At 41.6% G+C, this 22,742-nt stretch overlaps 1 protein-coding gene across 5 annotated transcripts in view, besides 2 other annotated features; it reads right to left on the bottom strand.

Annotated features, from left to right (window-relative positions):
* The window catches only part of DIS3L2 (DIS3 like 3'-5' exoribonuclease 2), a 382,638-nt gene extending 374,349 nt beyond the window's left edge, over positions 1–8,289 (bottom strand). For all 5 annotated transcript variants that reach the window (NR_046477.2, NR_046476.2, NM_001257281.2 and 2 more), the window contains exon 1: positions 8,237–8,289. The gene's annotated coding sequence lies outside the window, so the exon portion shown is untranslated. The remainder of the gene's footprint in view (positions 1–8,236) is intronic.
* Positions 8,032–8,191: a silencer, noted in NCBI's record as "silent region_12454". NCBI's record gives its function as "represses an Ori minimal core promoter by ATAC-STARR-seq in GM12878 lymphoblastoid cells {active_cell/tissue: GM12878}" and the evidence as "EXISTENCE:reporter gene assay evidence [ECO:0000049][PMID:35858748]".
* Positions 8,322–8,411: an enhancer, noted in NCBI's record as "active region_17318". NCBI's record gives its function as "activates an Ori minimal core promoter by ATAC-STARR-seq in GM12878 lymphoblastoid cells {active_cell/tissue: GM12878}" and the evidence as "EXISTENCE:reporter gene assay evidence [ECO:0000049][PMID:35858748]".

Genomic DNA, 22,742 nt, shown 5'->3' with positions numbered 1-22,742 from the left:
TGCAGTCCAGCCTGGAAAACAGAGCAAGACCCTGTCTCGAAAAAAAAAAATCATATGATCATCACAGTAGATTCAGAAAAAGCACTTAACAAAACCCAATGTTCACTCTCGAAAAAAAAAAAAATCTCAGTAAACTAGAAATAGAAGAAAACTTCTCCAGTGATAAAATGCATATACAAATGGTGAAAGACTAAATGCTTTCTCCCTAAGAGAAGAAACAAGACAAGTAATCTGCTCTCACCATCTCTATTTAACATTGTTACTTGGGGATTGCAGCCAGTGCAATAAGAAAAAGAAATAAAAGCCTGGAAAGGAAGAATTAAAACTGTATTCACAGATGACATAATCTTTACATAGAAAATCCAATGGAATCTATTAAAAAGCTCTAGGACGCCAGGCGCAGTGGTTCACGCCTGTAATCCCAGCACTTTGGGAGGCTGAGGCGGACAGATCATTTGAGATCAGGAGTTTGACGCTGGCCTGGCCAACATGGTGAAACCCCGTCTCGACTGAAAATACAAAAATTAGCCGGGCGTGGTGGCACACACCTGTAATCCCAGCTACTCAGGAGGCTGAGGCAGAAGAATTGCTTGAACCTGGGAGGTAGAGGTTGCAGTGAGCCAAGATTGCGCCACTGCACTCCTACCTGGGCAATAGAACGAGACTCCAACTCAAAAAAAAAAAAAAAAAAAGGTCTAGGACTAATAAGAACTAAGTGAGCTTAGCCAGATTGATGGAGAAGATTAATGTAAAAAAATCAATCATATTTCTATATACTAGTGTCAATCAGAAATATAAATTTTAAAAATATAATTTTAATAGTGTATTAGTCCATTCTCACACTGATAGAAATACCCAAGACTGGGTAATTTATAAAGGAAAGAGGGTTAATTGACTCAGTTCCACACGGCTGGGAAAGACTCAGGAAACTATAATCATGGTGAAAGAGGAAATAGGCATGTCTTACACGGCGGCGGCAGGCAAGTGAGAGAGCATGTGAGAACAAAGGAAAAACTACCATTTATGAAACCATCAGATCTTGTGAGAATTCACTATTACAAGAACAGCATGGGGGAAACCAGCCCCATAATCCAGTTACTTCCCTCCCTCGACACGTAGGGATTACAATTCAACATGAAATTTGGGTGGGGACCTAAAACCAAACCATATCAAATAGCACCAAAAACTATGAAATACTTACGGATAACTAAACATTGACAGTTTTCTTAAAGGTTAAGCATATACCTATTATATGATCCAGCCATTCTACTCCTAGGTATTTAACCAAGAGGAATAAAAACATATGTCCATACAAAGCCTTGTAAACAAAATTTTTATAGAAGCCTTATTTGTTAATAACTAAAATTGGAAACAACCAACATGTCCATTGGTAGGTAAATGTATTAATAAACTGAGGTACATCCATACAATGCAATATTACTCAGCAATAAAGAGGAATCAGCTACTAATACACTTAACAACAGGGATGACTCTCAATTATGCTGAGTGAAAGAAGGATAACTACATATTGTGTGGTTCCATTTATATAAAATAAGAGGAAATTCTAGGAAATGAAAGTTAATGTACAGTGATAAAAACATCAGTTAGGCCAAGCGCAGTGGCTCACGCCTGTAATCCCAGCACTTGGGAGACCGAGGCGGGCGGATCACGAGGTCAGGAGATCAAGACCATCCTAGCTAACACAATGAAACCCCGTCTCTATTAAAAATACAAAAATTAGCTGGGCATGGTGGCAGGTGCCTGTAGTCCCAGCTACTGGGGAGACTGAGGCAGGAGAATGGTATGAACCTGGGAGGCGAAGCTTGCAGTGAGCCAAGATCATGCCACTGCACTCCAGCCTGGGTGACAGAGCAAGACTCTGTCTCAAAAAAAAAAAAAAAAAATCAGTTATCTGGGATAGGGATCAGGGAGCCAGGGGTATGAAAACAGCTTTGGGCATAATAGATATGATCAATGTCCTGTTTGTGATGATAGTCTTACAAGTACACACATATGTCAAAACTTAACAAACTGTACACTTTAGAGTTTATAACCTGTCAACTATACCTCAATAAATCAGTCTTAAATCAATCAAATAAATTTTTTAAATAAATCAAAAAAATATGGTCTTAACCAATAATAATCCTACACAACACAAATTGGGCCCTAATTCATTTATTAAAAATTGTTTTTTGTTAATAAGACATATTTCAGTCATAAAACTTATAAGGCATCCTTACTTGCAAACTATTATAAAAGACTGATTTGAACTGGCAAAAATTCAGTGAAACATAAAGAAAATAAATGCATTATTTCAACAAAAAAATCTCAGAACAATTCTTTTTTTCATTTACAAAACTTAACTAAAATTAAAAAGAAACATGTAAATTTCTGACCTTGTTTAATACTGTGCCATAAGTAAAAGGATTAAACAAAAATAATAATAGCTCCTTCTTGGTATAACTGTTGCTAGAGTTTTGCATTCAACCTTTTAAAAGTGATTAAAGCTAACAGTGGCAGACATCAGAGAAAAAGGCAACTATTTCCCATGTGGAAAGCTGGTCCCTAAAAAAATGAAGTTAAACAGAAATGTTTGGGGCTTCTCTCTGAATCCCTCAGCATCTAGATAATCACCACAAACTTCTCCTCACCAAAGCCTAATGGGAAATAGAAACAATCCAATTTCATTAGAGGAGGACCAAAAAGGAACTTATAATGCAGAATTCTTCAATTAGCATTATATAACTTCCTGCCTCATCCGGTTTGGGTCACACAACCTCTCCGTGTCTACCAGACACTCCACCAATACTTTACTGAGGGCAGGGTACTTCATCAGCCCTTCTCCCCTCATGATTTCATCAGAGATAATTTCAAGGTACTTTGCACCACATGAAGTCCCTTCCTACCAGTGTGACCAGTGTCTCATCTGTCATCATTAGTACATCCCAGAGGCAGCCTGTTATTAGGGCAAGAAAGAAATCAAAAGTAGGTGGACTAACAGTTGACTAAACTTCATCAAGTCTTGCCTCAACATAACTGGTCACGTAATAACTACTCTAAGGCATCAAGTTCTTGCTATGGTTCCAAATAAAATACCTTCTATACGAAAAACCCTTCAAATCCTTCTACTTCATGTTACATGACAAAAAGGAGCATCTTCTGCCATTCTACCACCACTCTCAGTTTAATAAAGACAACAAGATTTCTGGGATGGGCACAGTGATTCATGCCTGTAACTCCAATATTTGAGAGGCTGAGGCAGGAGGATCACTTGAGGCCAAGAGTTTCAGACAAGCCTGAGCAACATAGCAAGACCCTGTCTCCACAAAAAAAAAAAAAAAAAAAAAAAAAAAAAAAAAATGTTTTTTAACTAGCTGGGCATGGTGGCTCATGCCTGTAGACCCAGCTACTCAAGAGGCTCAGGTGGGAAGATCACTCGAGCCTGGGAGTTCAAGGTTACAGTGAGCTATGATCACACTACTGCACTCCAGCCTGGGCAGCAGAGTGAGATTCTGTCTCAAAAAGGCCAGGCACAGTGGCTCAGTGGCTCACGTCTGTAATCCCAGCACTTTGGGAGGGCAAGGCGGGTGGATTGCTTGAGGTCAGGAGTTTGAGACCAGCCTGGCCAACATGGTGAAACCCCGTCTCTACTTAAAATACAAAAAATTAGCCAGGCGTGGTGGCGTGAGCTTGTAGTCCCAGCTACTCACGAGGCTGAGGCTGGAGAATCACTTCAGCCCACAAGGCGGAGGTTGCAGTAAGCTGAGATCGTGCCACTGCACTCCAGCCTGGGCAACAGAGTAAGTCTCTGTCTCAAAAAAAAAAAAAAAGAAGAAGAAGAAGAATTCTGGTCAAGTCTCCACTCCCTGACATCAGCAAAAATGGTATCGATGGCCAGACCTCAGAGGGATCTATCCACTCATTCCAGGCCCAGTTTTACTTTTACTCATGCTCAATAGCATTTCATGAAACTCCTTCTGTAAAACAAAAACTTTTTGAAGGATAAAATAAAAGGACAGGCTGGGCATGGTGGCTTACATCTATAATCCCAGAACTTCGGGAGGTTGAAGCAGGAGGATCGCCTGAGCCCAGAAGGTCGAGGCCACAGTAAGCCGTGATCTCACCACTGCACTCCAGCCAGGGCAACATGGACGTGGCATCAGAGGGTCTGCTTTGATTAGAGCACTGTTCTCTTCCTGTGCATCTTGTAGACATCAGTTAAAATGTCATTTCAGTGATTTCTCTAAAACACTTGTCACAGCCATAGTTTTGCATTTGTGTGATTATTTGAGTATCATCTGCTGAGGACAGAGATCATATGTGCATTCACTCTCCCCCATCTCCAAGGCCAAGCATAGTGCCTGGTACCAAGTAAGCACTCAAATATTATATTTGATGATTAAGTGAATAAATGAACACTAAGTCTATAAGAAAGCAACAAAACATCTTTTAAGAGGACTTAAAAGTTTGATCATCTTCACAAATGTATCTTTGGTGGATGCCCAAAGCAACTGAGTCCCCTTATTAAACATTAAACTCAAAAAAAAAAAAAAAGTCAATTCAGATGTCTACATAAATTGCTCTGGCCTTCAATGTCTCAAGGCAAATGCTGAGCATCAAAGGCTGATAGGCTAAACACACACACTCTCCTTATGTAAAGCATACCTACTGGTTGCTAAGTAACAGTTGTTTTTGGTAATTCCTGATACTACCGCTGCTACATAGGAAGCACTTCAGAAATACCAGTCAAATAAAAAAGAGCAACATTTCACAAGACTCTTGAGCATGAATGAAACAGTAACTACTTAAACTGTGGTGTTTCATATAAACCTAACACCAAATGCAGAAGCAAAGAAACTCTAAGTGGCAAAGCCCTCAGCTAGTAACTTCACTATTTTAGATGTCAAACAGGAAAAATGTCATATAGATTTGTACTAAGACTATTTGAAAGAAATAGGTCACAAATCAAGTGACCTGAAAGCATTAAATAAGAACTTCGAAATGCCACATGGAACTATTTCCCAAACTCTTAAGAATATAAGGAAAGGAATTAGGACTTCCTGTCCTCTCCAATACAAATACAAATTATATCTGTACTTTAGAGACAAATCAAGTCCCATTTAATCCAGAAATGATTTCTCCACCCTCTGACCTACTACAGCACTTAATATCCGTACCACATATTTTGCATTTAAACAAATGTCCATTTCATTGCTTTCCTAATAATTTCATGTGTGCACTTTTCTTTTATATCCTTTAAAGTGTATAATGCTGTAGATGCTTAATAAAGTTATTAAATTGGAATGAAATTATAGTTTTAAATGAATTTTGATATAGAAACTCCCACATTTTATTCCCAAATAATGTCATTTCCAAAAACGGTTCACACGCCTCAGTTTTAGCTCCATCATCATCAGATTAAAAATAAAGTCGTTATCCAACCATGTTCAAATAAGGCTTACAGTTTTCTTAGTACAGCTCATTCAAACTCAAATCAGGGGAGGTTTTCCAGTGCCATAGTGTCTTCTGAAGTGTAAGTCCATGCTATTAACAACACCTGCTCCTACTTTCTTCAATGTAGCAAATTTCACTTGAAATATTTCTCAAACCTCAAACCTAGTCAGTCCCGGGAAGATTTCCTTCTGCAGAAAACTTGTAAGCACAAAAATCTAAGCTACAGAATATACTAACCACACCTCACTCACAACTGGGAAGCAAATTCCCCAGAAAAGGATCAGTTCAAGATGTACAATTAAATGAGTCTCACACCTATAGAACAATGGAACAGAACAGAAAACTCAGAAATAAAGCCACACACCTACAACCATATGATCTTCAACAAACTGACAAAAAACAAATGGAGAAGGGACTCCCTATTCAATAAATGGTGCTGGGATAACTAACTAGCCACATGCAGAAGATATAAAACTGTATATATTTCATGATATACATAATGGGTTAAAGATTTAAATGCAAAGACCTCAGTCAGGCACAGTAGCTCATGCCTGTAATTCCAGCACTTTGGGCAACTGAGGCAGGCAGATCTTTTGAGCCTAGGAGTCAGAGACCAGCCTGACAACATGGTAAAAACCACATCTCCATAAAAAATACAAAAATTAGCCGAACGTGGTAGTGCGCACCTGTAGTCTCAGCTACTCGGGAGGCTGAGGTGGGAGGATCACTTGAGCCTGGGAAATCGAGGCTGCAGTGAGCTGCAGTCACGCTACTGCACTCCAGCCTGGGTGACAGTGAGACCCTGTCTCAAAATAAAATAAAAGACCTCAAGCTATAAAAATCCTAGAAGAAAACCCAGGAAATACACTTCTTGACACTGACCTTGGCAAATTTTTGGCTAAGTCCCCATAAGCAACTGCAGCAAAAACAAAAATTGACAAGTTGGAACTAATTAAACTAGAGCTTCTGCACAGCAAAAGAAATTATCAACAGATTAAACAGACAACCTACAAAATGGGCGAGAATATTCACAAACTATGCATCTGACAAAGGTCCAATATCCAGAATCCCTATGGAACTTAAATCAACAAGCAAAAAACAAATAAGCCCATTTTTAAAAATGGCCAAAGGACATGAACACTTCTCAGAAGAAATACAAAAAGAAAAAACCACGACATACAAGCAGCCAACAAATATATGGAAAACATGATCATGACTAATTATCAGAGAAATGCCAATCAAAACCACAATGAAATACCATCTCACACCAGTCAGAATGGCTATTATCAAAAAGTCAAAAAACAACAGATCCTCATTAGGCTCCCTTGGAAAGGGAACATTTAAACTACTGTTGGTGGGAATGTAAATTAGTTCAGCCACTGTGGAAAGCAGTTTGGAGATTTCTCAAAGAACTTAAAGAGCCACCATTTCACCCAGCAATCCCACTGTTGGGTATATAACCAAAGGAAAACAGACCATTATACCAAAAAGACATATGCAGTTGTATGTTCACGGCTGAGCTATTCACAATAGCAAACACACGGAATCAACCTAGGTGACCATCAATGGTGGACTGGAAAAAAAAAATGTGGATGTACAGGATGGAATACTATGCAGCCACAAAAAAGGAAGATATCATGTCCTTTACAGCAGCACAGATGGAGCTGGAGGCCATAATCCTAAACGAATTAGCACAAGAACAGAAAACTAAACACCACACGTTCTCACTTATAAGTGGGAGCTAAACATTGAGCACACTTACAAGTGGGAGTAGAAACATTGAGCGCACATGGACATAAACATGGGAACAGTCGGCCGGGTGCGGTGGCTCACGCCTGTAATCCTAGCACTTTGGGAGGCCAAGGCGGGCGGATCACGAGGTCAAGAGATCGAGACCATCCTGACTAACATGGTGAAACCCCGTCTCTACTAAAAATACAAAAAAATTAGCCGGGCGGGGTGGCGGGCGCCTGTAGTCCCAGCTACTCGGGAGGCTGAGGCAGAAGAATGGCATGAACCCAGGAGGCGGAGCTTGCAGTGAGCCGAATCGCGCCACTGCACTCCAGCCTGGGCGACAGAATGAGACTCCGTCTCAAAAAAAAAAAAAAAAGGTAACGGTAGACACTGTAGACTACTGGAAGGAGGGGAGAGATGGGGGATGTGGGTTGAAAAACTACCTACTGGGTTCTATGCTCAATACCTGGGTGCAATATACCCATGTGACTAACCTGCATGCGTATCCCCCATATCTAAAAGTTTATTAAAAAAAAAAACTCTCTATGATCAATAAAGGAGATAAAGTGTATCACTGTGGAAAGCGCAAACGTCAAGGACATGTTATAATTAAGCGGCTGCCCTTCAAGATTCCCGAGGCTCCCCATCCCTGCCAGTCCTGAACATCTCGATCAAGACCCTAGAGAACGCGTCCACAGGTGACCCGAGCCTCGGGAGGCGTCCTCTCTACAGCAACAGGCTCTAATTCTGGTCTCGCTCCCCTCACGCCATCCTAGGCTACAAGGGCCCCGGCGCTATAAGCGCGGCCTGGGAGGCCGGGTCGGTCAGGAGCGGAGAGTGGGGAGCTGGGGACATTGAGGGAGATGCGGGACAGGGAAGACGCGTGGGCCGGGGAGCAACGCCAGAGGCGGAAGACGCTCGTCCCGGGCCGCCACCACAGGTGCCGGGCGAAGCGCCGCGGAGCCCCCCAGAGGCCAGACCCCGGGTCGGTCCCGAGGGGGTCGTGCAGCACTAGGCGGTGCAGGGGGCAGGCGAGTGAGGGCCTCACCGTTTCTCCCCGGAGGCCGGCGCCGCCGCAGTCCCGCAGTTGCTAAGGAGAATGCTCTTCCGGGTCACGGGCGCGGCGTTCTAGAGAGCGACGGTGGCCGGGCGAGGCCGAGAGCGAAGCGCGCGGGGTGTGTGCGCGGTGCAGGAGCTCGTAGTCGGCGGTTCAGCTGCGACAAGGGCGAAATGGCCAGGCCAGGGGCCGCCGCGCCTTCTCCGGCCTCGCTCGCGGGGACAACTGGCTGCAACGGTTGGCTCCCAGTGGGCGGCCTCTGAGACGCCTTGTGCCAGGCGCCGGCTGGCTCCGGGCCCCTCTTCCACCGGAAGGAGCCTTCCAGACCCGGCTCCTGAACCTCCAGGCTCTGCTCCACTGGGCCAGGTCTTGCACGGCAGACGCCGCCGGCCCCTTTCCTGTTACAAGGCTTTGCTCATTCTTTCATTTACTCACTGCTCATTTATTGGACAACTGCTTGGGGCGAGGTGCAGTGCTGGCACTGGGGATACAGAGATGGACAACCCCCGCATGGTCCCTGCCCTCAGGATGTGAGGCTGATGGCAGAGCAAGCAGATGACGTCCTGCACGTGGGGATGATCGAAGGAAAGGAGACTAGGGGAGCCTGCCCAAGGGGCCCACCCAGACACGGGTGGGGAGCAGCTGATGTTGGAGACGTCGACCTAGTATAAAGGGTTGGGAAGAGGGTTTCAGGTGAGAGAGGAAGCGCAGCCGAGAAAGCCCCCGACAGTTCAGCCCGCCCAGGGAAGCGTGTTGAGAGGAAACAATCGTTAAGTACGGGACCTAGGAAACACCAATATTGTAGATGTGAGCAAAGGAAAAGGAAATCCAAAGAGCAGCCAGAACGTTCGGGAGAGCACAAGAGGAAAGAATGCCAGTGAGGGGATGGCCGCCATTCTCAAGCTATGGAGATCAAGTGTCCATTGGTGACCATAGAAAAATCAAACTTCCCTTTGGGAGGCCGAGGCGGGCGGATCACCTGAGGTCGGGAGTTCGAGACCAGCCTGATCAACATGGAGAAACCCCGTCCCTATTAAAAATAATAAATTAGCCAGACGTGGTGGCACATGCCTGTAATCCCAGCTACTCAGGAGGCTGAGGCTGGTGAATCGCTTTAACCCCGGAGGCGGAGGTTGCAGTGAGCCGAGATCGCACCATTGCACTCCAGAAAAAAAAAAAGAGAGAGGGAAGGAAAGACGGGAGGGCAGGGCAGGGTAGGGATCAAACTTCGGGAATACAATGTGGACAGATGCTTGAACCACCGTATGCTCCATATTGAAAAAGGAAAAGAGATGCATTAAATTGTGCCTATATTTCTCTTTTTTTTTTTTTTTTTTTTTTTGAGACGGACTATCGCTCTGTCGCCCAGGCTGGAGTGCAATGGTGCGATCTCGGCTCACTGCAACCTCCGCCTCCTGGGTTCAAGCAGTTCTCCTGCCTCAGTCCCGAGTAGCTGGGACTACAGGCGCGTGCCACCACTCTCGGCTAATTTTTGTATTTTTAGTAGAGACGGGGTTTCACCGTGTTAGCCAGGATGGTCTCACTCTTCCGCCCATCTTGTCCCAAAGTGCTGGGATTACAGGTGTGAGTCACCGCACCCGGCCAGTGCGTTGCAGTAGTCTAAGAAAATTCAGGGTTTCCCTTAGTAACTATGAGCTCCATGAAGGTGGAAAACTTTGCATCTGCAGTACCTGCCACACACACAGGCCTCAATCGATGTTTGCTTAAAGACTAAATGAACCCAAGGAACCTTTGTTTTTTAATGTTCACACAGACCTTTCTAGAACCCTCAGGAAAACTGTGATTTCAGCAAAACTTGTCTTTGAAATGTAGAGGGTAGAGGAAACCCAGCAAGGACAGGAGGCAGAGGGTGTCAGGCATCCAGGGATTCAGTGGATAGGAGAGGGGCCAGTGGGGACAGGAAGGGGAAGACCTAGAAGAGGAAGAGAACAAAGGATTGAAATAAAATCTGTGGCCGGATGCAGTGGCTCATGACTATAATCCCAGCACTTTGGGAGGCCAAGGCGGGCTGATCACTTGAGGTCAGGAGTTCGAGACCAGCCTGGCCAACATGGTGAAAACCTGTCTCTACTAAAAATACAAAAAATTAGCCAGGCATGGTGGTGGGGGCCTGTAGCCTCAGCTACTCGGGAGGCTGAGGCAGGAGAACTGCTTGAACCTGGGAGGTGGAGGTTGCAGTGAGCCTAGATCGGGCTACTGCACTCCAGCCTGGGAGACAGAGCAAGACTCCGTCTCAAAAAATAAAAAAATAAAAAGAAAACCTGAGATTTCAGGACTAGAAATAGGAGGTGAAGCCAAGGAAACCAAAAATAATTAAAAGTAGGAATAGAGAATCAAGGACAAGAGCAGAGGAAGTAGGGCTGAGACCATTATTTTCCTTAAGTTCAACGGACAAATCTCATTTTGATTGGTCGTTTGTCAAAGTGTGCTGCCTGCCTTTGTATAGGCTACAGGGCTAGGGTGGACATATCACTGTGCCCTCTTTTTTTTTTGTGGGGGTCGGGGGATGAAGTCTCACTCTGTCGCCAGGCTGGAGTGGAGTGGTGCAATCTCGGCTCACGAGGCACATCCCACCACACCCAGCTAATTTTTGCATTTTTAGTAGAGACGGGGTTTCACCATGTTGGCCAGGATGGTCTCGATCTCTTGGCCTCGTGATCCGCCCACCTCGGCCTCCCAAAGTGCTGGGGTTACAGGCGTGAGCCACAGCGCCCAGCGCACTGTGCCCTCTTAAGTGATGTGAGCCCTGGCTTCCTCACGTGGGCTAAAGGAAGATCACAACACACTCTGGAGTAGACTTGCGGCAAGAGGCTTATCCCACTAGCATATGTTCGTTCAGTCCATTACTTCAGTATGTTCCTATTGAAACAAGTATTACAATAAGCTCCCTGAAAAGAGATAGAAGTAATATTCTCTGAAAGACAACAGATCTCTCCATAACAGATGTGACAGGTTATCTGTGTCAGAAAACCAATAAATTCAAAATGTATGGCTGAAGAATTTAGAAACACCAAAATATGGGTCAAGTGGGCTATCTTGGTCCTTTAGGAGTGCTATAACACAATACCATAGATTGAGTGGCTTATGAACAACAGAAATTTGTTTATCGTGGTTCTAAAAGCTGTGAAGTCCAAGATCAAGGCACTAGCAGATTCCATCTCTGGCGAACCATTTCCTGGTTCATAGATGGCCTTCTTGTCCTGTTGTGACGTGATAGGAAGAAGGCTAGCTAGCTGGCCTCTCACAGGCCTCTTCTTAGAAGAACACTAATCCCATTAGTAAGAACTCCACTCTCATGACCCAAGTACTTCCCAAAGCCCCCACCTCCAAATACCATCACACTGGGATTAGGGTTTCAACATATGAACTTTGAAAGAACACAGACATTTAGTCCATAACAGTCTGTTATGAAGTCCAAGCCTTTCTGGAAGTTTAGGGCTTGTACACAGCTGTGGTTGCCCCAGAACCTCTCAGTCCCAGCCTGACCTGAATTCTTAGCAACCACCACCCCTAACCCAGCCTTCTGGACTAACATCTACTCAGTCACAAAAGCAGACACCATGGGGTCATCCCTGACTCCACTTTCCCTCATCACCACGCCCACACCCTAACAATCCAGTCCCTGAGCAGGTTCTGAGGATTGTCTCCTCCCCACCCAATTCCACTGCCACCAAGGACAGTGAAAGAAGCAAACAACCAAGCAACTCAGGGTCAATAACAAGTGTTGCAACCTCAGAGATGAGTCAAGGTGATAAAGGTGGGGTGTGTGTGTGTGAAAGTGTAATAACCAAATCAAACACCAAAACTCCAAGGAGATAAGATGGAATACATTCATTCAACATATTTTAGTTGCCTTTCACATGATAATTTTATCATAAAGGCAGTAAAAGATAATGAAAGGACTATTAAAAAGGGTAAAGAAAAACTAAGAATCAAACACATTCCAAGAACCAAAGTGAAGCAGGATTTGCTGGCCTTTTCGAGGCCCCAGTTCTGTTGAGGGATATGTTAAAGTGCCAGGAGCCTGGCCTTCACCAAGGCTGAGAGCGCCATGGTGAATAGAAAAGGTGTCTCACCATTCCCATATCTACTGTTTTTGGCGTCCTCAACTGCAACGACTACACCCATCCAGACCACTAATTCCAACATACAATTTTGGTCTGATTAAAGTCTATTTTTGCTCTTCTCTCAATTTAAACTTAATGTTTTTAAAAAATACATTTTCTTTTTTCTATATATAGTATTCTTTTTTCTCTTAAAATTTTTTTTTTTTTTTTTTGATACGGAGTCTTGCTCTGTCTCCAGGCTGGAGTGCAGTGGCGTGATCTCAGCTCACTGCAACCTCTGACTTCTGGGTTCAAGCGATTCTCCTGCTTCAGCCTCCCAAGTAGCTGGGACTACAGGTGCACACCACCATGCACAGCTAATTTTTGTATTTTTAGTAGAGACAGGGTTTCACCATGTTGGCCAGGATAGTCTGGATCTCTTGATCTAGTGATCCGCCTGCCTCAGCCTCCCAAAGTACTGGGACTACAGGCATAAGCCACCACGCCCAGCCTTAACTTTGAAAATCTAAATTCTATGAGAATATTTCTTTTTCTTTGGACTCTGAGGTCTTAGCTTAATTTCTCTTTTACCTTCTGGTTCCTATTTAAAATGTCATCTTTTTAAATATTTTACCTGTTAATTTTATTTTATTGGGATGTTATCAACATATTATGCTTAACTTTTTAGGTTTAATTTTTTTGTTTTGTTTTCTAGTGCTTTCCTATTTTCTTTTTTAATTTCATAAATGCTACTTTAAAAGTGGATTTTATGCTTGAACCCGGGAGGCAGAGATTGCAGTGAGCTGAGATTGTGCCATTGCACTTCAGCCTGGGAGACAGAGCAAGACTCTAAAAAAAAAATAAGAAATTAAAGTGGATTTTAGAAAATTCCCTGATTTACAGTGTTGCCCTATTCTTTCTACATTTTTATTCCCACGTTTTTAGCTTTAAATCTGTCTTAATTTTTATATTCTGTCATCATCCTATTTTATCTTTTCTTTCTCCTGTCTTCTATCTTGCATATTTTTTTCTGGTTTTGAAATTTCTCTTTTAATCACAGACACATCTCACCAGCTACAAGTGGCATCTAATAATTTTTACGCTTTAAAAGAGAAAAAAAGAATGGCATTCAATTCACAAAACCCAGAATGCTTGTACCTTTGTTTTGTTGGGGAATTCACTGAAGAGGGAGGTACAAGATTTTACTTTCTTCTGTACCTTACTGCCTGCCAGAGACCAGCCTCATATGAAGCTGGTATAACAAAAAGGGATTTCTTGTGTTGCAAATCCAATACAGCAGCAATTCAGCATAGCACTTAGGACAGAGGGAGCCAAACTGCTGGGTTCAAATCCAACTCTACCAGTTACTCACTGTGTGTGACCTTGGACAAGTTACTCAACCTCTCTGCCTCTCTGTTTTCCTTGCCTGTGAAATGTAGATAATGATAGTCATATCACCTCATGAGGTTGATATGAGATTTAAATGAGTCAATGCATGTAAAGTACTTAGAACAGTGCCTGAGCACATTGTGAATATATATTTACTAACATTGTCATTTAATAAGAAGAGGTCACTCTTAGGAGTGAAAAATGACTACGTGGCCAGGCACAGTGGCTCACTCCTATAATGCCAGCACTTTGGGAGGCCAAGATGGGTGAATTGCTTGAGCCCAGGAGTTTGAGACCAGCCTGGACAACATGTCGAAAACCTGTCGCTACCAAAAAAATACAAAAATTAAGTGGGCGTGGTGGTGCACACCTGTAGACCCAGCTACTTGAGAGGCTGAGGTGGGAGGATCACTTGAGGTAGGAGGATCGCTTGAGCCTGGAGGCAGAGGTTGTGGTGAGCCAAGATTGCGCCACTGCACTTCAGCCTGGGTGACGGAGCGAGACTCCATCTCAAAAAAACAGGACTGTAAATTGACCATCCATGGAGTATATGGATTAGGGGCCCACTGGATCCAATCAGTTGAGCCAAGGAAACAGATTTACTTAGCGGAATTATGACTGCCCAGGTCGTAGGGGCTGGGGGGTTATGTATGTATACTTATCTGGAGGGAGGTGGCAATTTCAATGAAGGGCATGTAGGCAGGGAGAAATAATAGTCATATGTAGCATAGCCTGATATCTCCACAAATATGCATATTCCAGTCTGAAAGCAGGGATATATAGGTGTAATAAAATGTAACAATCATATTTTAAAATATTTAACAGGATTTAAAGCTGAACTTGCTGGTGTACAAAAGAAGGAAAAATAATAAAATATTTAACTGGAGAGAAAAGTTTTCAGAATACCCAAACAAAACAAAATGAAACCAAGAGGACCTGGCTAAGAAGAGAGAGGATGAGTAAATGACTCCCAAAATTCTGTATCTCTATATAAGAAAGAAAAATGGTTTTGAGTTACAACAGATATGAAAAATGGCCGGGCACAGTGGCTCACGCCTATAATTCCAGCACTTTGGGTGGCCAAGGTGGGCGGATCACCTGAGGTCAGGAGTTCAAGACCAGCCTGGCCAACATGGTGAAATCCCATCTTTACTAAAAATACAAAAATTAGCCAGGCATGGTGAGGGGAACCTGTAATTCCAGCTACTCAGGAGGCTGAGGCAGGAGAATCACTTCAACCTGGGAGGCAGATGTTGCAGTGAGCCGAGATGGTGTCACTGCACTCCAGCCTGGGTGACAGAGCAAGACTCTATCAAAAAAGAAAGAAAGAGAAAGAAAGAAAGAAAGAAAGAAAGAAAGAAAGAAAGAAAGAAAGAAAGAAAGAAAGAAAGAAAGAAAGAAAAAGAAAGAAAGAAAGAAAGAAAGAAAGAAGAAAGAGAAAGAGAGAGAGAGAGAGAGAGAAAGAAAGAAAGAGAAAGCAAGCGCAGGCTGTTTGGGGATAGGTCAGTCAAGAGAGAAAAACATGAGGAAATGGAGTTGTTCAAAAAATGTTACGTTGGGCTGGGCACGGTGGCTCACACTTGTAATCCCGGCACTTTGGGAGGCCTAGGCGGGTGGATCATGAGGTCAGGAGTTCAAGACTAGCCTGGCCAACATAGTGAAACCCCCTCTCTACTAAAAATACAAAAATTAGTCGGGTGTGGTGGCACGTGACTGTAGTCCCAGCTACTCGGGAGGCTGAGGCAGGAGAATCATTTGCTTCTCCCTGGAGGTGGAAGTTGCAGTGAGCCAAGACCTCACCATTGCACTCCAGCCTGGGCAACAGAGAGAGACTCCATCTGAAAAAAAAAAAAAAAAAAAAAGTTAAATTCAATCTCACATAAATGAATTTTTAAAACACTTAAATGAATTTTTAAAATGGAAATCCTTATGTTAAGTTAAAGAGAAAACAGAGAATTTTATTAACTGAGAAAAATACCAGAAAACACAATTACAACAATTATAAGATTACATGTAAATGGACCGAATTCTCCTATTTAAAAAATAAAATTACAAACTAGATTAAAAAGACAAAATCCACACATGCATCTCATTTTAAAACACACACACACTTAAAGAAAAAAGAATAATTTAAAAGCCTAGCATAGATAAGTCATGTTTGCACAAAGCAAGTGTAGTGAGTCCCAGCTTGACTGATTAAGTTATTATGTTCATCCCAGGAGTCCGGCATACCTAGGCATGCCCAAAACACCAGTGGGAGGACCCGCTGGAGGTCTATTTGCGTGAGGATCCAGGCCGCTAGGAAAGAATTCCTTCTTCAGACAAAGCCAAACAGAGGACCAAGGTTAACAGGTCAGAATGATGCTTTGTGAAGCAGGGAGGCTGCAGAGAGGGAGAGCCCCCAAAACAGGATATTGGCTTAAGGCAGCCCCTGCTCTGTAGCTTTTCAACAGAAAGGAGCATTAGCAGGGGAGAGTACTGTTGAAGCATGTTGGCATAAACTCTCAATAATACTCCATTCAATGGCCCCAAGCACAGGCTGCGCCCCAGCTCCACTGAGGAATCACCAGCAAGTCCCTGCACCTCAGAGGCCTCCATTTTTTCTTCTACAAAGGGATGTGATTGAACGAACTGCTCCAAAGAGGAAAAATTGGGAAACAAAGAGCTTTCTCAAGTGTACATGAAGCTTGTACAAAAATTAATTGCAATTTTGAAGACAGGTATTATTAGAAAAGATTTCACACATTGATTCAGACTGCAATTCAATAAATTACAGAGAAAGGCAATATACCACCATTTTGCACATGGCCAGATAAGAATGGAAGAAATACTCCGTGATAGAACAATCGAGTTGAAAAGACAGTGTTAAATATAGAGGCATTAATTTAAAACCAAAAAAGGTAACAGGTACATATTCAAAGCTGTATCAGAGGTACTTTTGTATCTTTCATTCCTATAAGAACAAGAAAGAAAGATCTACATCTAAATTTTTAAAATATATATAAGCAATAAATTTTAAAAGGCAGTAATAAATATGAAATCATAGAAATTAGAAAAGAATATGCCAAATAGCAAAACTAAGATAAAAATTAATTAATACAATATTTACAAACCACTAATACTAAGGTATAACCAACTAAATACCCAAAAGAATATAAGGGAAACAAAATTTGAAAACTACATAATCATTAAAATTATTGGGAAATTCTATTCAAAGTTAAACTTTAGTGAGTTTGAAATGTTAAAGGAAGTGAACAATTTTCCATGAAAACACAAGTAGAATAAGAAAACTCAGGTAGAACAACAGAAAAATTGGTAAAAGGGAAAGTTCAAGGAAGAAACAGAAAACTTATGCAATGAATATTTATAGAATGCATTCTATAAATATAAATGAATATTTATAGAATGCATTTATAGAATGCATTTTCAGAAAAAGGTGCCTAGACATGATAATGTTGCCATTAACATTTTCAATATTAAATAAATAAACAAAGCCCCATTTCATTTTTGAGGCCAATGTGGTCATTTTCTATCTACTTGTAAACATAAAGATTACAGTAAAATTTTTTTAATTTTTTAATTCATACATAAATTTACCACTTTTGCATACTTATTTTCATTTTATTCTATTTTCCAGTACTAGTACCATATATTTATGTTGTATAGTTGCAGGATGTGCTGCTATTTTATATCCCTTCTTTTAGAAATTGAATCAATATCTTCCATGTTAATTTTAGACTTTTTAAAACTTTTTTATTTCACAAATTATAAATATTCATTCGAAATAACTTAGATGATACACTTAATTATGAAGAAGCAACTGAGAATGTATGTGTAATTTTACTGCCCAGAGATAGATGGACAGATAAACAGATAGGTAGGCAGATAGACAGATATGCATACATACACATATATACATTTGGATTGGATTCCTTCTTGAAATTTTAAAATTGAGATATAATTCACACAACATAAAATTCACCATTTTATTTTATTTTATTTTATTTATTTTTTGGTAGAGTCAAGGTCTCACTCTGTCACCCCAGCTGGAGTGCAGTGGTGTGATCTCGGCTCCCTGCAACTTCTGCCTCCCAGGCTCAAGCGATCCTCCCACCTCAGCCTCTTGGGTAGCTGGGATCACAGATGCATGCCGCTACATCTGGCTAATAGTTTTTGTATTTTTTTGGTAAAGACGGGGTTTCACCACGTTGCCCAGGCTGGTCTCGAATTCCTGAGCTCAAGTGATCTGCCCACTTCAGCCTCTCAAAGTGCTGGGATTACAGGCATAAACCACTGTACCTGGCTGAAATTCACCATTTTGAAGTATACAATTCAGTGCCTTTTAGTATAGTCACAGTGTTATGCAATCATCACCACAATTTTAGAATACTTTCAATCACACCATAAAGAAATCCTGCAATTACTAGCAGTCACTCCTTAGTTCCCTCCTGTCCTCCCAGCCCTAGACAACCACCAATCTACTTTCTGTTTCTGTGAATTTCCTTATCCTGGACATTTTATAGAAATAGAATCATATGATATGTGATCCCTTGTGACTTGTTTTTTTCACTTAGCATAATGTTTTCAAAGTTCATCATGTTATAGCATGAATCAGTGCTTTATTCCTTTTTATGGCTGAATAATATTCCTTTATGTGGATATACCACATTTTGTTCGTCCATTCATTAGTTGATGGACATTTGGATTTTTTTGTACTTTTCGGTTATTATAAATAATGCTACTATGAACATTCATATACATGTTTTTGCAGGACCATTTTTTTCAGTTCTTATGCATTCCATACATAAGAGTGGAATTGCTGGGTCATATAAGCTGGATCATATGGTAACTACACCATTTGACATTCCCATCAGCAATGTATAAGGGTTCCAATTTCTCCACAATGGCAACAATTGCTTTGTTTCATTTTTTTTATTACAGCCATTCTGGTGAAATGTAAATCATCTAGTAAAGTAGTATTTCTTTGTAGTTTTAATTTGAACTCCCTAATGGCTAGTGATAGGGAGCATCTGTTGTTTCGTGTACTTATTGACCATTTGTATATCTTTTTTGGAGAAATGTCTCTTCAAGTCTCTCGCCCATATTTCAATTGAGTTATATGTCTTTTTTATTGTTGAGTTGTAAGAGTTCTTTATATATTCTGGATACTAGACCTTTATCAGATTTGTAAATTTTTCCCCCATTCTGTGGGTTATGTACAGGAATTACATTCCATTTTCATTATCTATCTTGATACTGTCCTTTGATGAAACAAACAAACGTTTTACTTTTGATGAAGTCCAAATTATTCATCTTTTTTGGTTGCTTTTGCTTTAAGTATTATATCTAAGAAACTGTTGCCTAATTGAAGGTCGTGAAGATTTACAATTGTTTCTTTCTAAGCGTTTTATCATTTTAGCTCATACATTTAGATCTTTGATCCATTTTGAGTTCATTTTTACGCATGGTGTGAGGTCAGAGTTCAACTTCACTCTTTTGCATGTGGATATCCAGTTGTCCCAGTACCAATTATTGAAAAGACTCTTCCTTTCCCATTGAATGGTCTTGAGATCCTTTTTGAAATCAGTTGACCACAGATATACGGATTTATTTCTGTATCCCCATTCTATTACAGTGATCTATGTATCTATACTTATGACAATACCACACTGTTGTGATCACTATAACTTTATACTAAGTTTTGAAATTGAGAAGTGCGAGTCTTCCAATGGAATATACTTTAATACTCCTTTATAACTTTTTCACTCCAAAAACGTAGAAGTAGTCACATCTACATATCAACAAATGTAATTCTATAGTATCCCACATTATGAATTTTCCATTATTTATTATTTATATTAGTTATTTGCAAAAATTACACTATATTGTTGGACACATAGGTTATTTCCAATCTTTTATTATCATAAACAATGCTTAGTGAACATTCATGGAGATAAATCTTTGCACATGCATTAAATTATTTTCTTAAAGACTATTATATTCTATTAAGTTTATTTACAGTAATTACATTCAGTTTTTTAACATTATAAATAATGGGGGAATAACGTTTTTTGTATATTTGGTTCAGGGTCTTTTGGACAATTTCCTTAGACAAATTATACAAGCTTGAGATTCCTCAATCAAAGGATATGAAGGCTTCAATGACAATTGATATATATCAATACCTATTTCAAATACATATTGCATCAATTTAATGCTGCCTCAAAACACCACACTTTTGTCAGAATTGGGTACAGTGTTTTTTTAAAAACTAGTGATTAAAAATAGTGCCTCATTTACATTTTAATTACATTTCTATGATTACTACAGATGTTTGTCTTCTCTTGGGTGCTGTAAAAGTATTTTCTTCTGAGTATATTGTTTTTTTCATGAGTTTTACCCAATTCTCTATTAAGGCCCTCAATCCAACTAATTTGTAAAGTCTCTTATTAAAGTGCACTGTTGCAAATTAAAACCACAATGAGGCCCAATGTGGTGGCTCACACCTGTAATCCCAGCACTTTGGGAGTCCAAACCTGGCGGATCACTTGAGGTCAGGAGTTCAAGACCAGCCTGGCCAGTATGGTGAAACCCCATCTCTACTAAAAATACAAAACTAGCCAGGCATGGTGGCACATGCCTGTCTCAGCTGAGGCAGGAGAATTACTTGAACCTAGGAGGCAGAGGTTGCAGTGAGCCAAAATCATGCCACTGCACTCCAGCCTGGGTGAAAAGAGCGAAACTCTGTCTCAAAAAAAAAATTTAAAAAAAGGAAAATAAATAAACTGGTATATATACCCAATAGAATACTATTCAGCCTTAAAAAAGAAAGAAGTCGGCCGGGCGTGGTGGCTCACACTTGTAATCCCAGCACTTTGGGAGGCCGAGGCGGGCGGATCACAAGGTCAGGAGATCGAGACCATCCTGGCTAACATGGTGAAACCCCGTCTCTACTAAAAATACAAAGAAAAAAATTAGCCGGGCGAGGTGGCAGGCGCCTGTAGTCCCAGCTACTCGGGAGGCTGAGGCAGGAGAATGGCGTGAACCTAGTAGGTGGAGTTTGCAGTGAGCCGAGATCACGCCACTGCACTCCAGCCTGGGTGACAAAGTGAGACTCTGTCTCAAAAAAAAAAAAAAAAGAAAAAAGAAAGAAGTCATGTCATTTGCAACATGAATGAGCCTAGAGGATGTTATACTGAGTGAAATAAAGCAAAGGCCAGGCGCGGTGGCTCATGCCTGTAATCCCAGTACTTTGGGAGGCCAAGGCAGGTGGAGCGCTTGAGCCCAGGAGTTCGAGACCAACCTGGGCAACACGGTGAACCCCATCTCGACAAAAAATACAAAAATTAGCCAGGTGTGGTGCTGGATGCCTGTAGTCCTAGCTACTCAGGAGGCTGAGGTGGGAGGATCTGTTGACCCCAGGGGGTGGAGGCCATGGTGAGCCATGTTTGTGTCACTGTACTCCAGCCTGGGTGACAGAGTGAGACCCTGTCTCAAAAAATAAATAAATACATAATGAAGTTTTAAAAAGCAAGCACAGAAAGACAAATACTGCATGATCTCACTTATATGTGGAATCTAAAAATATTGAACTCATAGTTGTAGAGAGCAGAATGGTGGTTACCCAAGGCAGGGGCGGGGGAGAGATTGGGGAGATGTTAGTCAAATAATACAAAATTTCAGATAGGAGTAAGTTCTAGAGATCTATTAAACAGCATGGTAACTACAGTTACTTTGTATTGTGTACTTGAAAATTGCTGTAAGAATAGATTTTAAACATGTTCTCATCACAATAAAATAAGTATGTGAGGTAATGAGTATGTTAATTAGCTTGATTTTGTCATTCCACAATGCGTACATATATCAAACATCATGTTGTACACCATAAATATATATAATTTTTATTTGTCCATTTAAAATTAAAATAAATTATAAAATGAAATAACTATGTCCTGTCATTCTTACTGCAAACAATTTCCTGCCCAATTTTTGCCTCATTTCTTTGTAATGTACAAGAATGGAGCAGCAGCAGTCAGGGCATCTTGCTGGGCTTAGAATGTTTATTTCTGGAAAAATGAAAGCAGGAGCTAAGCTGATTTTAGATCCTTCAAAAGTGGTCTTTTATTCTGCTTGTAGGATATTAGTCCTCTTTGTCATTTTATGTATTTATTTTAGAAAGAAGCACTCAGTGCAGAATTCAAAAGTCACCAAAGGATATCCAGCAAAAAAGACCTGTCCCCGTTCCCGTTCAGCAGCACCCATCCTGGCATCCACTGTCCGTCCATCTGTCCAACTGGCATTTTGTTGGTTTCCACTCTGTATAGAGGTAATAGGTCCTGTGGTTCAGAGAGGTTGAAAACCCACCTCTAGCACCTGACAGCCTTTCCTTGGGTCAAGCCTCAGTTTTCTCATCTGTGAAATGGGGATAGTGATTGTTACCTCGTAAATTATTGAGAAGATGTATATAAGGTACTTGGCAGAGATCCGGGTCCTGTGGTACCTCTGTGAACAAACCAGGCATGGCCTGTCATCAAGAGGTCTGCTCAAGCATCGCTTTCAGGTCTACATCTTGGTTGCCACTTCTTTTGCCCCCACTATGGATCGGGCTATTTCTCTTGCTGCTGACCTAGAATCCTCCACGTCACCTCCCGTGAGGGGCCTCCCGTGGTAGGACCAGGCCCCTCAGGCCCCTATGAGATAGAAGTCTGGAGCTTTCCACTGCCCCATACTGGCCATGAAAATTTTTTTGTTTGTTTTGTTTTTGAGACAGAGTCTCACTCTGTCGCCCAGGCTGGACTGCAGTGGCACGATCTCGGCTTACTGCAACCTCTGCCTCCCGGGTTCAAGCGATTCTCCTGCCTCAGACTCCCCAGTACCTGGGATCACAGGCATGCACCACCACACCTGGCTAATTTTTGTATTTTTGGTAGGGATGAGGTTTCACCCTGTTGGCCAGGCTTGTCTCAAACCCCCGACCTCAGGTGATCCGCCCTCCTCAGCCTCCCAAATTGCTGAGATTACAGGCGTGAGCCACCGTGCCC

This window comes from Homo sapiens, chromosome 2 (assembly GCF_000001405.40).
Source record: "Homo sapiens chromosome 2, GRCh38.p14 Primary Assembly".
In the NCBI taxonomy this organism is placed as follows: Eukaryota; Metazoa; Chordata; class Mammalia; order Primates; family Hominidae; genus Homo; species Homo sapiens.
The sequence above is the reverse complement of the archived record's forward strand: the minus strand, read 5'-3'. Positions and strand labels throughout refer to the sequence as shown.